Here is a 12,177-nt window from a genome sequence, read left to right as displayed (position 1 = left end):
AAAGAACACACATTGTGATAGTTCTTGTAAACTATCGCAAGGACAAAAAACCAAACACCGCATGTTCTCACTCATAGGTGGGAATTGAACAATGGGATCACATGGACACAGGAAGGGGAACATCACACTCTGGGGACTGTTGTGGGGTGGGGGGATGGGGGAGGGATGGCATTAGGAGATATACCTAATGCTAAATGACGAGTTGATGGGTGCAGCACACCAGCATGGCACATGTATACATATGTAACTAACCTGCACATTGTGCACATGTACCCTAAAACTTGAAGTATAATAATAATAATAATAATCATAATAATAGAAAATGGAAAATAAATAAATAAATAAATAAAATAGATTTATCCCAGGAAAAAAATAAAAAGAACACACATTGATGATTGATGACAACAGTTACCATCTTGCATAGCACTGATATCAACCACAGTGGCCAGTACTAAGATATGATGCTATTCATGGTCTTTCTTTGAGAAAACAGGAATTCAAATCTGTTAAATTGCATATAAATTTCTTTTTAAATTTATGTCTATGATTGCTTTCATCAATAACTAATAATTTTCCCAAATAGCCAAGTCTTGTTTATCACTTGGCTCAATGGTTTTCTATTTTTTCCCTCTCTATTAACCAAAAATAAAATAAAATAACTGAATATGAGAATCAGAAAGCATTTGAAACCCGAATATAAATTGTATTTTATCTTTCTCTGCAATCTTATTAATTAGCAGATGTGATTAGCAGTTATGAGCTAGCTAGATAATAACCAACAATATGACTACTCCAAGCCTAATCTTTCTTTTCTCTTTATTCTATGATCTCAGTGGTTTGTAACAGGCACTGTGAAAATGGAGGCCAGTGTCTTACACCAGATATTTGCCAGTGCAAACCTGGCTGGTATGGACCCACCTGTAGTACAGGTAAAATTGGAAATATTTTCAATGAACATGTCAATTAAAAGTTAAAATATGCCAATGTCCTGAAGACGTGCACCTAAGAAACATAAAACTGACCTGACAAGACAGGTAGATAGGTATGAAGTTGTTATTTCAGACAGATTTTTAAAACTCTTTCATCTTCATTCCCTTTGTTTTTATGTTGAACCGTATGGTGTCTTACAGCTTTACTGTTATCTTAACCAACCAATACTTTTTTTGCTTTTATATTTCCCTCATTCACCTACCTTGTGGTGAAGAGAAACGTGTTGAATCTTCTAGGTTTCTTTTAAGTTTTTCATCGCAATACAAACATCCTATTTCATTAAATATCTAAGCAATTCTGAATTAAGTGGATACCCTTCATGTTATTCCATTTATTTATCACAGTATTAGGCTTTTTTTTTTCATTTAGACAGAGTCTCACTCTGTCGCCCAGGCTGGAGTGCAGTGGGGCGATCTTGGCTCACTGTAACTTCTGCCTCCCAGGTTCAAGTGATTCTCCTGCCTCAGCCTCCCGAGTAGCTGGGATTACAGGAGCATGCCACCATGCCTAGCTAATTTTTGTATTTTTAGTAGAGACGGGGTTTCACCATGTTGGTCAGACTGGTCTCAAACTCCTGACCTCGTGATCCGCCTGCCTCAGCCTCTCAAAGTACTGGGATTACAAGCGTGAGCCACTGCGCCCGGCGTAAGCTTGTTTCTTTGGCAGCAATGTTTGCAGTTATCTATGTTTGATCTAATTCATTATAATCTAATGACTTTTTCTCAATGAAAGTGTAATTCAATGTTTATAGCTGGCCAATTATTTGTGAAGCATGATGCAAATGGAAACAAGGATCCACTTGATTTTTGCCCTCATTTCAAGTCGCATATTGTTAGTGACAGAATTATAAAATTATAAAATTATAAAAAAGACTATGATACAAGTTGAGTTATGATAAGTAATGTTATTGAAACACAGTTCCTTAGAAGCAGAGAAGGAAGAAATTAATTTTGGCAAGTGGAGTGAGGAAGAAAATAGTATTTGTAGTAGATGTTGGTGAATGGGTAGGATCTAGGGTGAAAAATAAAATTGGGGATGTCTTTCAAAGCAAAACAAAAATAAAGAAGCAAAAACAAAGAATGTTTTTGAGTGTGCTAGGACTTGAGTGCAGTGTTCTCATTTTAATTGGGAAGGCGATAAAGAGGTGTGCATGGCTACATGTATTTGAACAGATTACAAACCATCCTGTTAACACTGTTGAATTGAATTGTCTTCTCTTAACTTGCAATCGTTTCTTCTAGCTTAGTGAAGGCATTCTGAATTCTAATCATAGCCTCTACATTCTTGATAGAGCAGGAGCACCGTCATCTTGGACAAACACCGCCACTTTAAATTCCAGCTCCCTTTCTAGCTTTTCTAAGCTTAGTGTTATTTGTAAACTTAATGAACATACTTTCAAAGCGATTATCCAGTAATTTCATTCCTCTTATGTTTGGCAAAGTCTAATTAATTATACATTATGGGCTTTACTTGCAGTAAAAATAAAATATTTCATTATGCACCATTTTGCACTTCTGTGCAGCTTTCATTTTTTAAATAATAAAACTTTTATGTTCTCTTTTCCTCCTGCTGTTTATTAGCTTTGTGCGACCCTGTCTGCCTCAATGGTGGTTCGTGTAATAAGCCAAATACTTGCCTCTGTCCAAATGGATTCTTTGGGGAACACTGTCAGAATGGTAATTATTCTTTCTTTGTATGTAAAAAGGGCAAATGGAAAGTTAGATATCAACAGAGCTCTGAGTAAACATGAGACAAGTTTCAAAGGGAAAGATGCGATTTTTTCCCCAGAATTCTTGCGATGTTTCAAGTATGCCCACCAAATTACTAGCTTACAAAAATATATCAAAGTTATTATGTAAAACGGTTATATTTACTCGATATATTGAAGCTCATACCTTGGCATCTCTCTGTGCAGCTTTGTAGGCCCAAGGTATGAAACAGATAAGCAAAGTTCTCTTGTAGTCTGTTATAATGAAATTGTGTCATTTTTGTTGCCTACACAGCAAAAATGTTTGATTTATGGTCAATCTACTGTCCACTATTATCCCATAATCTCTTTTCACCTTAGTTTCATTAAACATTTATGAAGAATCACCTGTGCACAGCGCTACGCAAGAAGATACAGAGACATAAAAATGCATTGTTTTTCTCTTTCATGGGCTTAGTATTTTAACACTTTCCCTCATATAGTTAATATTGCAGGTTATTTTCGGAATAATGGGGATGTCTTGAGGGTATGAATTAATGTCAACCAATAATATGTAATGTGTATTTTCTACATCTTCATATTTTCGAGTTTATTAAAAATGTAGAGTAGATTTTTACTATAGAACATGTCAGAGTATTTCCATAATTTAATTCCTAAAATTTAGGTTTTCCTTGCCACGATGCACTTTGATTTGCAATTCTATTTCTTTTATTTTGGATGTTGGCTAGGATTCTTAGGATGGAAATAAAGCAGAAAAGAAGTCATCCCGCTAACACAGGATATACGGGCATAGCGAATGAGTTCCTGTAATTCGTATTCCTTTGAAGAAGCAGTTTGAGAAACAGAAAGAAGTAAAGACTAAGTTAAGGGAAATCTTGAAAACTAGAAGACTATGGTTAAATCCATGCTAAAGAGTTATATATGTAGTTTTGAATGGAGAATGTAAGGAAGGAAATGAAAACGTTACATCTTTCATGCTACTTGAAGTAGTTGTAAGATGAAGTAAGAAAAGTTCTCTAAAATGTATATGCCAGTTGTATAAGTGGATAAAGGAAGAAATCTCTCAATTATTAAACTGAATTAAAAATTATCTATTGAACGTATTCCATGCTTTAAGGGCCAGAAAACAGATTATCATTGTGGGGAGAGAGTAGGTTTTACAATGAGCTTGCCTCCACAGCTTTCTTGCTGGTATTTACTTGAAGGCTCCATGCCTCAGACTTTCTGGCTTTCAAGTATGATCTAGACAGTTGCTATGACATGTAATTCTTATTAGATCTCATCTTGTTGTGAGCCTAAATGGTGGGAAGGGAAGATGGCACACACATTGAAAGTGATTGAATAAAATTAGGTGGAATGTAAAATCATATGAAAAACATATACTATGTGCACTATAGAATTTTAAAAGAGGAAGATAGAAATTGAGCTAGAAACATCACAAAAAAGTTAAACTACTAAACTAGTAAGCAAGGCTTAGGATGTATGGCTGGAGAGATATTTAAATACACCTTCCAATTTGCTTCACCTCTTGGATTTCACATGGAGAGTGAATCCAATTACTTAGCCCACTTCAGGATTTGGTGACAGAATGAGGCCTATAGATCTCATAAATATATGTGGAGGGTGGATTTTCTCATAAACCTCGTTTTCCTAATGTGAGACTATGGGTAGACATGGCCACCCTTAAATTGTATGCCCTTTGTATATATTATTTTAAGTATGTATGCTTTTTTGTATAAATAATTTATTTCTACACTTCAAGTTTTTGTGGATGATTAATTATAGCAAGATTACGCATCATAAACAATTTGTGGAGCTTTTTTACGTTTCAAATTCCTAACCACAGGCATTTTATATGGAGTTTTTGTAGTAGAAAGAATATATATTTTCTAATAAATAATAATAATCTTAAATTGTATGAAGGATAGGGAGCAGAAAATGTAAGAACATTTCTCTACCAATAAAAAGTATCAATAAAATGTCAGAGAAATAACAGTAGACTCAAGCATGAACCAAAAAAAACTTCAGCCTAAAATACTGGAAATTATCTGTTTGCTAAAAGCTTTCAGTTATATTATTACTATAAAGTTCTATATTATTTCCATTTAAAATCCATTTGAAAACAGTAGAATTTTTCTTACAGTGTTTGGAAATAAAGAAAGCAGCTAGTAATTCAAACAGGGCGTCAGTCCACACTAGTCCTGTTATTAATACCAGTTAATTTGAAATTTATTTTTAAAATACAAACTAACATTTATTTAATTATTATTTAGGAAGAAATTAAATTTTAAATTTTCTGGACAGGCTTGCCTGTGTATTACTTAAAAGAAATGCCTGCATTTAATTTCCATATATGGAAGAAACATGAAGTAATCATAACCATCTCATAAAATTAATACATATTAACGTTACTCTGAATTTCATAAAACAGAATTATACAAATAGGAACTACCAGTAAGATATATTCAAAATTATCTAACAAATATTCTTAACAAAACCAAGGATTTATTGTTAAAAATATTTTTACCAAGCATTCTCTGGAATAAGTCACATATAAAGCTGTGCCTTCATAACCTCAGTAAGTACTCGAAAGCTAATTTAAAAGTGCTTTTTAAATATGTGGAAAATTGTTGAGATTTGTCTAATTTCCACAAGAACAGGCACATTCTTATTTTGAGCTACGTTTTGACTTATTTTCTGGGTTTTGTCTAGATCATTCCATGCTTTATTGTATAGTGAAACATAAGGTTTATAATATATTCATTGTAATATGAAAGACTCAATTTGTTATGAACACTTAACCAATATATTTCAAATTGTGCTAACCCACTAGTAGCTTATAGGTATAAGCATTGCATTTCATGATTTAGAAAGGACAGGTTTAATGAGTGATCTTTTATTTTAATAGCACATTTCTCTGCCTTATGTCCTCATTGATGACAAGCACATGATGCAATGTATCATATGTAGTAATGGGATGTGTAATATTCACAGATTGCTGCCATGTGTTCTTTTAGCTTTCTGTCACCCTCCCTGTAAGAATGGTGGCCACTGCATGAGAAATAATGTGTGCGTCTGTCGTGAAGGATACACTGGTAGGAGATTCCAAAAAAGTAAGACATCACTAAATGTATTTGTCAACTACAGCTAAAGCCAAGACAAAACTGTTGAATTTAAGGGCTGACTTTTCATGCTTTTACCTTAAGGCATCTGTGATCCTACGTGCATGAATGGAGGAAAATGTGTGGGACCAAGCACTTGCTCTTGTCCTTCTGGTTGGAGTGGGAAACGATGCAACACACGTAAGAGGAATACTCTTAAAACACTGAAGCTTTCGTCCTTCATGGGAATGTAAAGCAGAGTTTAAAACAGAGCATTTTTTTCACTTTTGTTTGCTTGGTCTTTTTAAAATTTTTGCATATTTATTCTTGCTTTAGGAGATACCTCTTTGAAACACAAAGAGTTTTTACTCTTCTGAACTCATTCTTTCAGGTTAGCAGAAGAGGATATCTTGTATTTTTCAGTTTTTCTACTGCACTTGCCAGAAAAAATAACAAGTCCTTAAGTCCTGAAGTTGGGGTTGGGGAAAGGTTTTAAAAATTACTGACTTCTTGGCCCCACCTCAAACCATCCAGTTCTGACCTTTCCAAGAGAAGATAACAGTGCCACTCAGGCTGGTTAGCTCCTGAGGGTGGCTGTCTTTATTCAAATGTTTCATTTTTTTCCTTTCTATAAATTGTTTTAAATTAGCTGCTACTAGAATGTTTTGATCAAAATGAAAAAATGAGAAGCAACATAGATGTCCAACAACTGGAGAAAAGTTAAATCACGACGCATTCAAACAATGGAACATTTTGCAACTGTTAAGGTCACATTTTCCAAGAATATGTAGTGACATTCAAAAATGTTCTTGATAAAATATTAGGGAAAAATTTCTTTAATCACTTACTTGTAACTATTTCTTTTTTTCTCTCTAATGAAAAGTTTTGTGGGTTATGGATAGGATTTGACTAGTAATTTAAAATTTTAACTTGTTTATATTTCGATTGGCAGCTATCTGCTTGCAGAAATGTAAAAACGGTGGTGAATGCATTGCGCCCAGCATATGCCATTGTCCTTCCTCCTGGGAAGGAGTGCGGTGTCAAATACGTAAGCCCACAGGATGTTTTTCCTACTATATGTTCTGAATTGGAATCTGTTATAATAATTAAAGTATAGCTTTAGGACAAGTCCATAAGGGGGAAAAAACTCCAGCATGCTGATCCTTTTTAAAAAATGATTTTAGATATAAAACAAAAACTTCCTAAATTTTATATCCATTTAAAAGAAAAAAGTGTAGTATAATATATTAATAGTTTGTGTGAAGAGATAATTTCAAATTATGGTCTGTGGATTACCAATAAAGTTTCCCCAGGTGGGCCAAAGAAGGTATTGATATATAGAAGTTTAAATATTATTTCATATTATAAGATAAATACATATGTATCATGGATACCTTAGAAAATATGAAAATGTATTAAAAATTAATCACTCTAGGCCGGGTGCAGTGGCTCACGCCTGTAATCCCAGCACTTTGGGAGGCCAAGGCCAGCGGATCACCAGGTCAGGAGATCGAGACCATCCTGGCTAACACGGTGAAACCCCGTCTCTACTAAAAATACAAAAAATTAGCCAGGCGTGGTGGCAGGCGCCTGTAGTCCCAGCTACTCAGGAGTCTGAGGCAGGAGAATGGCGTGAACCCTGGAGGCAGAGCTTGCAGTGAGCAGAGATCGCGCCACTGCACTCCGGCCTGGGCGACAGAGCGAGACTCCGTCTCAAAAAAAAAGTAAAAAAAGAAAAAAAAAATAGTCACTCTAAATTTCACCATCTAGAATTAATTTCGGTTGCTTTTTTAGAGTTTTAGTATATCTCCATCCAGTATTAGTTATAAATTTCTACATAGATGAAATCTTAAGATGTAGAGGAAGATCAAATTTCATGCAATTTTGAAATTTTTTGTGGAAACTTGAAAAAAGATGTTAAAATATTAACAATGATTAACTTAATGGGAAAAACTGCAAATCCCTCAAAATATTTCCAAATGATTAATAATTACATAATTTAAAAATTGGTGGCCAAGTGTATTGTAAACTGAAATTACACAGATTTATTATGATCATGCCTTTTTACTAGAAATAATGTACCCTCCATTTCAATGTCTTATGAACCATACCCTTGTTTCCATGCATCAGAAATTTTGCATGTAGTTTTTGTGACTCTTAGACCCTAATTTATTAGTAATTGCTATTGTAATGTATACATTTCTTATCCTAGAAAAATATATGAAAGTACTATTAAGTGCTGGTATTTACATAAGATATGTATGCTCAAATATTGATAATTCCAATTGGAATTTAGATGTGATAAAATGCTAGAAAAAAAAAGTTAGCAACCTCAACTTGGGTGCTTGTTCTGGAGTAAGCTCTATGCGGACCATAAGAGAGAAGGATGAGAAGATGTTAAAAGCATATTAATGGGGAAATATGCTTCAGTGGTTGCAGATTGAGGTTGTCTGAGCACAGCCTGAAGCTGTGCACCCTGTTTCTGCATCCTGCAGCATTTTTATGTGAATTTAAAAGTCATCCTACTTCAAATTCTTTATTTCAAACTATTGAGAAATTGTCTTAATATAATGATATTTCTTAAACAAAATATGTTACTACCATCTGTTGGAAAATTGTTGTAATAAAAATTCAAATCTATGATATGTATCATGTGAATGGTGCTTTCTCAGCTGTGGAGCCCTCGTGGATTTCACAACCTGCCCAATTGTATACAGCAGCCTGATGAAAACAACCCTGTCAATGTTGCATTTATCTTAAAGGACAAATTATTCTTGAATGTGTAAGCTTCAAGTATGTGATATTGAAGCAGTATTTGTCCTATAAAAATAACTATTATATATAATTTTGTGGTACGCTCATTTTCACTCAATATTGTTTGAAAGAATTTATGTTGTTTAAAAACAAAATTTAAAGCAATATATTAAGTTCCATAATATAAATACTACAAAAATTCCCTTTACTTCCCCTCTTATGTTTAACATTTTAGTTATTTACAAGTTATTATTAAGTATTATAAGTATTTTCTTTCTACAGGTAGATGATAAATAGATTGAGATATTGAGATATTGAGATAGATGTAGGTATTTTTAATTGCCTTGGGAAAGATTTCAAGTAAGAAATGTATGATATAGACAGCATGAGTATCTTTCAGAAATTTTCAGTAGTTATTTCACATTAAACTTCCAATGATAGTATAAAAATTGTCAAATTTTCCATACACTAGCCAGTACTGGGTTGTCTCTTTTAAATTTTTGCTTAATGTTAAAAAGTAAATTATAGATGCTATCTTCTGTTAATGACTTCAGCTCCTCTAGAAAAAAAAAGAGATATATTTCAAATACTTCAAAATGTAGCCAATGAAATTTTTGTTTCTTTTAATAATATCTTTATAGAATTCCAAAAGTGTTGTTTGAATTTTGGGTGCTTTGTTTTTGATGTGTGCGTGTGCTCTGAAAGACAAGAGTACATAGATTAGATCCATTCATTGATGGTTCATTAATAGATTCTTATGACTGCATTGGTGTCCAATCACCAGATAGCCCCAGACCACTAGGATAGAATATGCCACAAGCATTTCATGTCAAAGGATGGTCATTGTAAAAATTTGTGTATTGCAGCAATTTGCAACCCAAAATGTCTTTATGGAGGCAGATGCATATTTCCCAATGTGTGTTCCTGCCGCACTGAATACTCTGGAGTCAAATGTGAGAAGAAAATACAGGTATTTCAGAGTTTAAAGAGAAAATAAATATTAGACATTGACATTTGCATATCTCTTCTACTTAGTAATTGTTACTAATTAATGTTTTTTTATTATTTCCAAAATAAAAAAAGCATTTATTTGCCTCTAAAATTAAAAATTGTATCATTTTTGTGTTTTGGTAGAGTTATTATATAAAATTTTGATGTGTATTTAAGGAATTTCAATGTATAGATACAACTGTCCAATGTAACGCAGTATTTCATGACACTGTAGTTGAGACAGCAAATGTTCCACAATATAGATTCAAGACACTTATTTGTAGGGCCAGTGCTATAAAACATATATTTAAAAAGTTTCTGTGATCTTATTTCTTCATATAGGATTAAACTGCATTGTGTTTTGTCTCTAATCTTAAATTTCCAAATATCAACAGCCGAGATGTTATTTCAGTCCTAATTCCTATACACACAAGGGTAGTTCTAATAATCTCTCTCTCTCTCATACAAACATACAGACAAATGCAGCAAACCTCTCAAAAATGTCTTAAAGTTAATATGTAGGAGTTGTAATTTAAAAAGTCATTATATGCTATTTAGCACTTCAAAATGCCCCAGGGTCATGAATATAAAAGTATGCTGGAGTACCAGAATTTGACAACTGATTAGAAATTTTCTTCTTGAAGCTTGATATGGATCAATTTGGCTTGGAGACAAAATGGATATATGTATAGTTTTCTCCGAGCACTGGTGTCATCCTGTAGGATTGGCCCCCATTGTGAAAATAACCAGATCATAATAGGGCTATGGTTTGAAAACTGGAAAGCAAAAGTTATTGAGTACTTATTTGATTAAATATTGTTTGAGAAAAATAAAAATAAAAGCTTGAGCTTCCTTGGGTTTGAAGGCAGCCTAAGTATATATTATTTGATTTGATTTGATGTGAGATTTTTATGGCACAGAAAACCCTATGACCTCTAAAGCTTTTTAACTCCACTTTGACAGTACTAAACTAGGTGGCTGCTCTATATTCTATTTTATGTATTTATTTGCCATCTGAATCCTTCCTCATATGATCAATAGCAAATCATCTTTATCCCCATTAATGCTGCTTCTAAGAATGCATTTAAAATCACACTAAGGGGAAAAAATGCCAGAAGGCCATGGGGAAGGAAAAGGGCATAAAAGGCTAAGCATGAGGACAATATGTCCTGTTCTACTGTAACCTGCTCTCCCAAGCTTCTAACTTCAATCTCATTCTGGCTTTATTCTGTTGATCACTGGTGTCTTTTTTTTCTTTACTTGCTTTCGATATTTCTTTGTCTCCCACACATAGGTTAAAACATAAATTTCTCTTTAGTGGGGAAAAAAGCAATCACCATCCATGGGTATCCATAGAACCTTCTCCAACTCCATCCCTTGCTCCCCTCTTCCCTACCTTCCCCAAAGGAGGGTTCAGACTGGCTAACTACCTCCTGGCTCTTCCTCAGGCAACCTGAGATAGTGGGTAAAAAAAAGAAATGGAGCTTACTGATTGCATTGCTAGAATTTCAATGAAAAAGAATTACTGGCTAGAGACAAGAAACACAGAGAAAGGGAAAATAAGTAAAGGAAGAAAAAGGTGCTAAAGAGGGTGGGTTGATAAAAGGCTTTGAGAAGCATCATAACCTCCTGCTTGTGGCTGAGTGCACTCACTCTGACCCTGCCACTTATTTGCTCTGTGATTTCAGGCAAGTTTAACCCCCTCAGTCTCAGTTTTCTCATCTGCAATATGGCATTAATAGTAGCACCTAATGTTAGGCTTATTGTAAGGATTAAATATGTTAATATATGTGAAGTACCTAGAGTGGTGCCTGGGACATAACAAGCACTATGTAAGAGTTTGTAACTAATTACATCCAATAGAGGAATAGAAAGAGGTGGAGAAAGAAAAGGATGGGGAAAGACACTTCAGAGAAACACTGCAATGTGTTATGAGTATCAGTGGTTTTTTCCTGAGGGATATCAAAACATTAATTAGTTTTATTGGGCATGGATGTTTCTAAAGTGTAACATTTTGCCACGATGGAATCACCTAGTATGCAAGCTCCATTTGGTTATGACAGCTTGGACCTTAAGTATGATCTTGATTTGATTTCAATTTTATGAAAACAGTATTGAGTCTAGTGGCAAACAGAACCAAAAGAGCTTTACGTATCATGTCAGAGGGAAGGAGGCAACAAATAATGAGTAAGGGTTAAATGATTTTATACTATTCATTGAAACACAATTTCCTTCTTCCTACTACAGATAAGACGCCATTGAGTAGCATCAAGTATATGAATTACAAGCCTGTATCTTAAGAATGGAAATATTTTGTTCAGAAAAAGTTGGAGATAACTTGGAGTTTATTTGAACATCATTCAAAAAATATCTTAAAGACTGAAGAAACTAATAAAATACATAATGATCTCTGTTGTAATCATAGAGAAAAGCAAAGAAGAAATCCAGGTAATCTAAATTTGATGTTGAGATGGGATAGGATATTTACATATTGAGATGATGTATCTGATATTCCACCCATTCACAATATTTAATAAACTGAATATTTTCTCAGCCCTAACTGTGACTATGTCTGCATCATTAGGAGTCAGTCAGCCTAATGGAAGCCACTTGATATCATCCTAATAAATGATG

The 12,177-nt window shown here is 33.9% G+C and overlaps 1 protein-coding gene across 4 annotated transcripts in view; it reads left to right on the top strand.

Annotated features, from left to right (window-relative positions):
• VWDE (von Willebrand factor D and EGF domains) overlaps positions 1-12,103 on the top strand; it is a 72,981-nt gene extending 60,878 nt beyond the window's left edge. For all 4 annotated transcript variants that reach the window (NR_144534.2, NM_001346973.2, NM_001346972.2 and 1 more), the window contains 7 exons: positions 834-929; positions 2,571-2,666; positions 5,716-5,811; positions 5,905-6,000; positions 6,752-6,847; positions 9,420-9,523; positions 11,791-12,103. Coding sequence is in view for 3 of the 4 variants with exons in the window: in NM_001346973.2 (NP_001333902.1) it covers positions 834-929; positions 2,571-2,666; positions 5,716-5,811; positions 5,905-6,000; positions 6,752-6,847; positions 9,420-9,523; positions 11,791-11,805 (599 nt within the window). In the remaining variant the exon portion in view is untranslated. The remainder of the gene's footprint in view (positions 1-833; positions 930-2,570; positions 2,667-5,715; positions 5,812-5,904; positions 6,001-6,751; positions 6,848-9,419; positions 9,524-11,790) is intronic.
• The last annotated feature ends 74 nt before the right edge of the window (positions 12,104-12,177 follow it).

This window comes from Homo sapiens, chromosome 7, assembly GCF_000001405.40.
Source record: "Homo sapiens chromosome 7, GRCh38.p14 Primary Assembly".
Lineage (NCBI taxonomy): Eukaryota > Metazoa > Chordata > Mammalia > Primates > Hominidae > Homo > Homo sapiens.
Note: the sequence above shows the minus strand (reverse complement) of the source record. Positions and strands in the feature narration are given on the sequence as shown.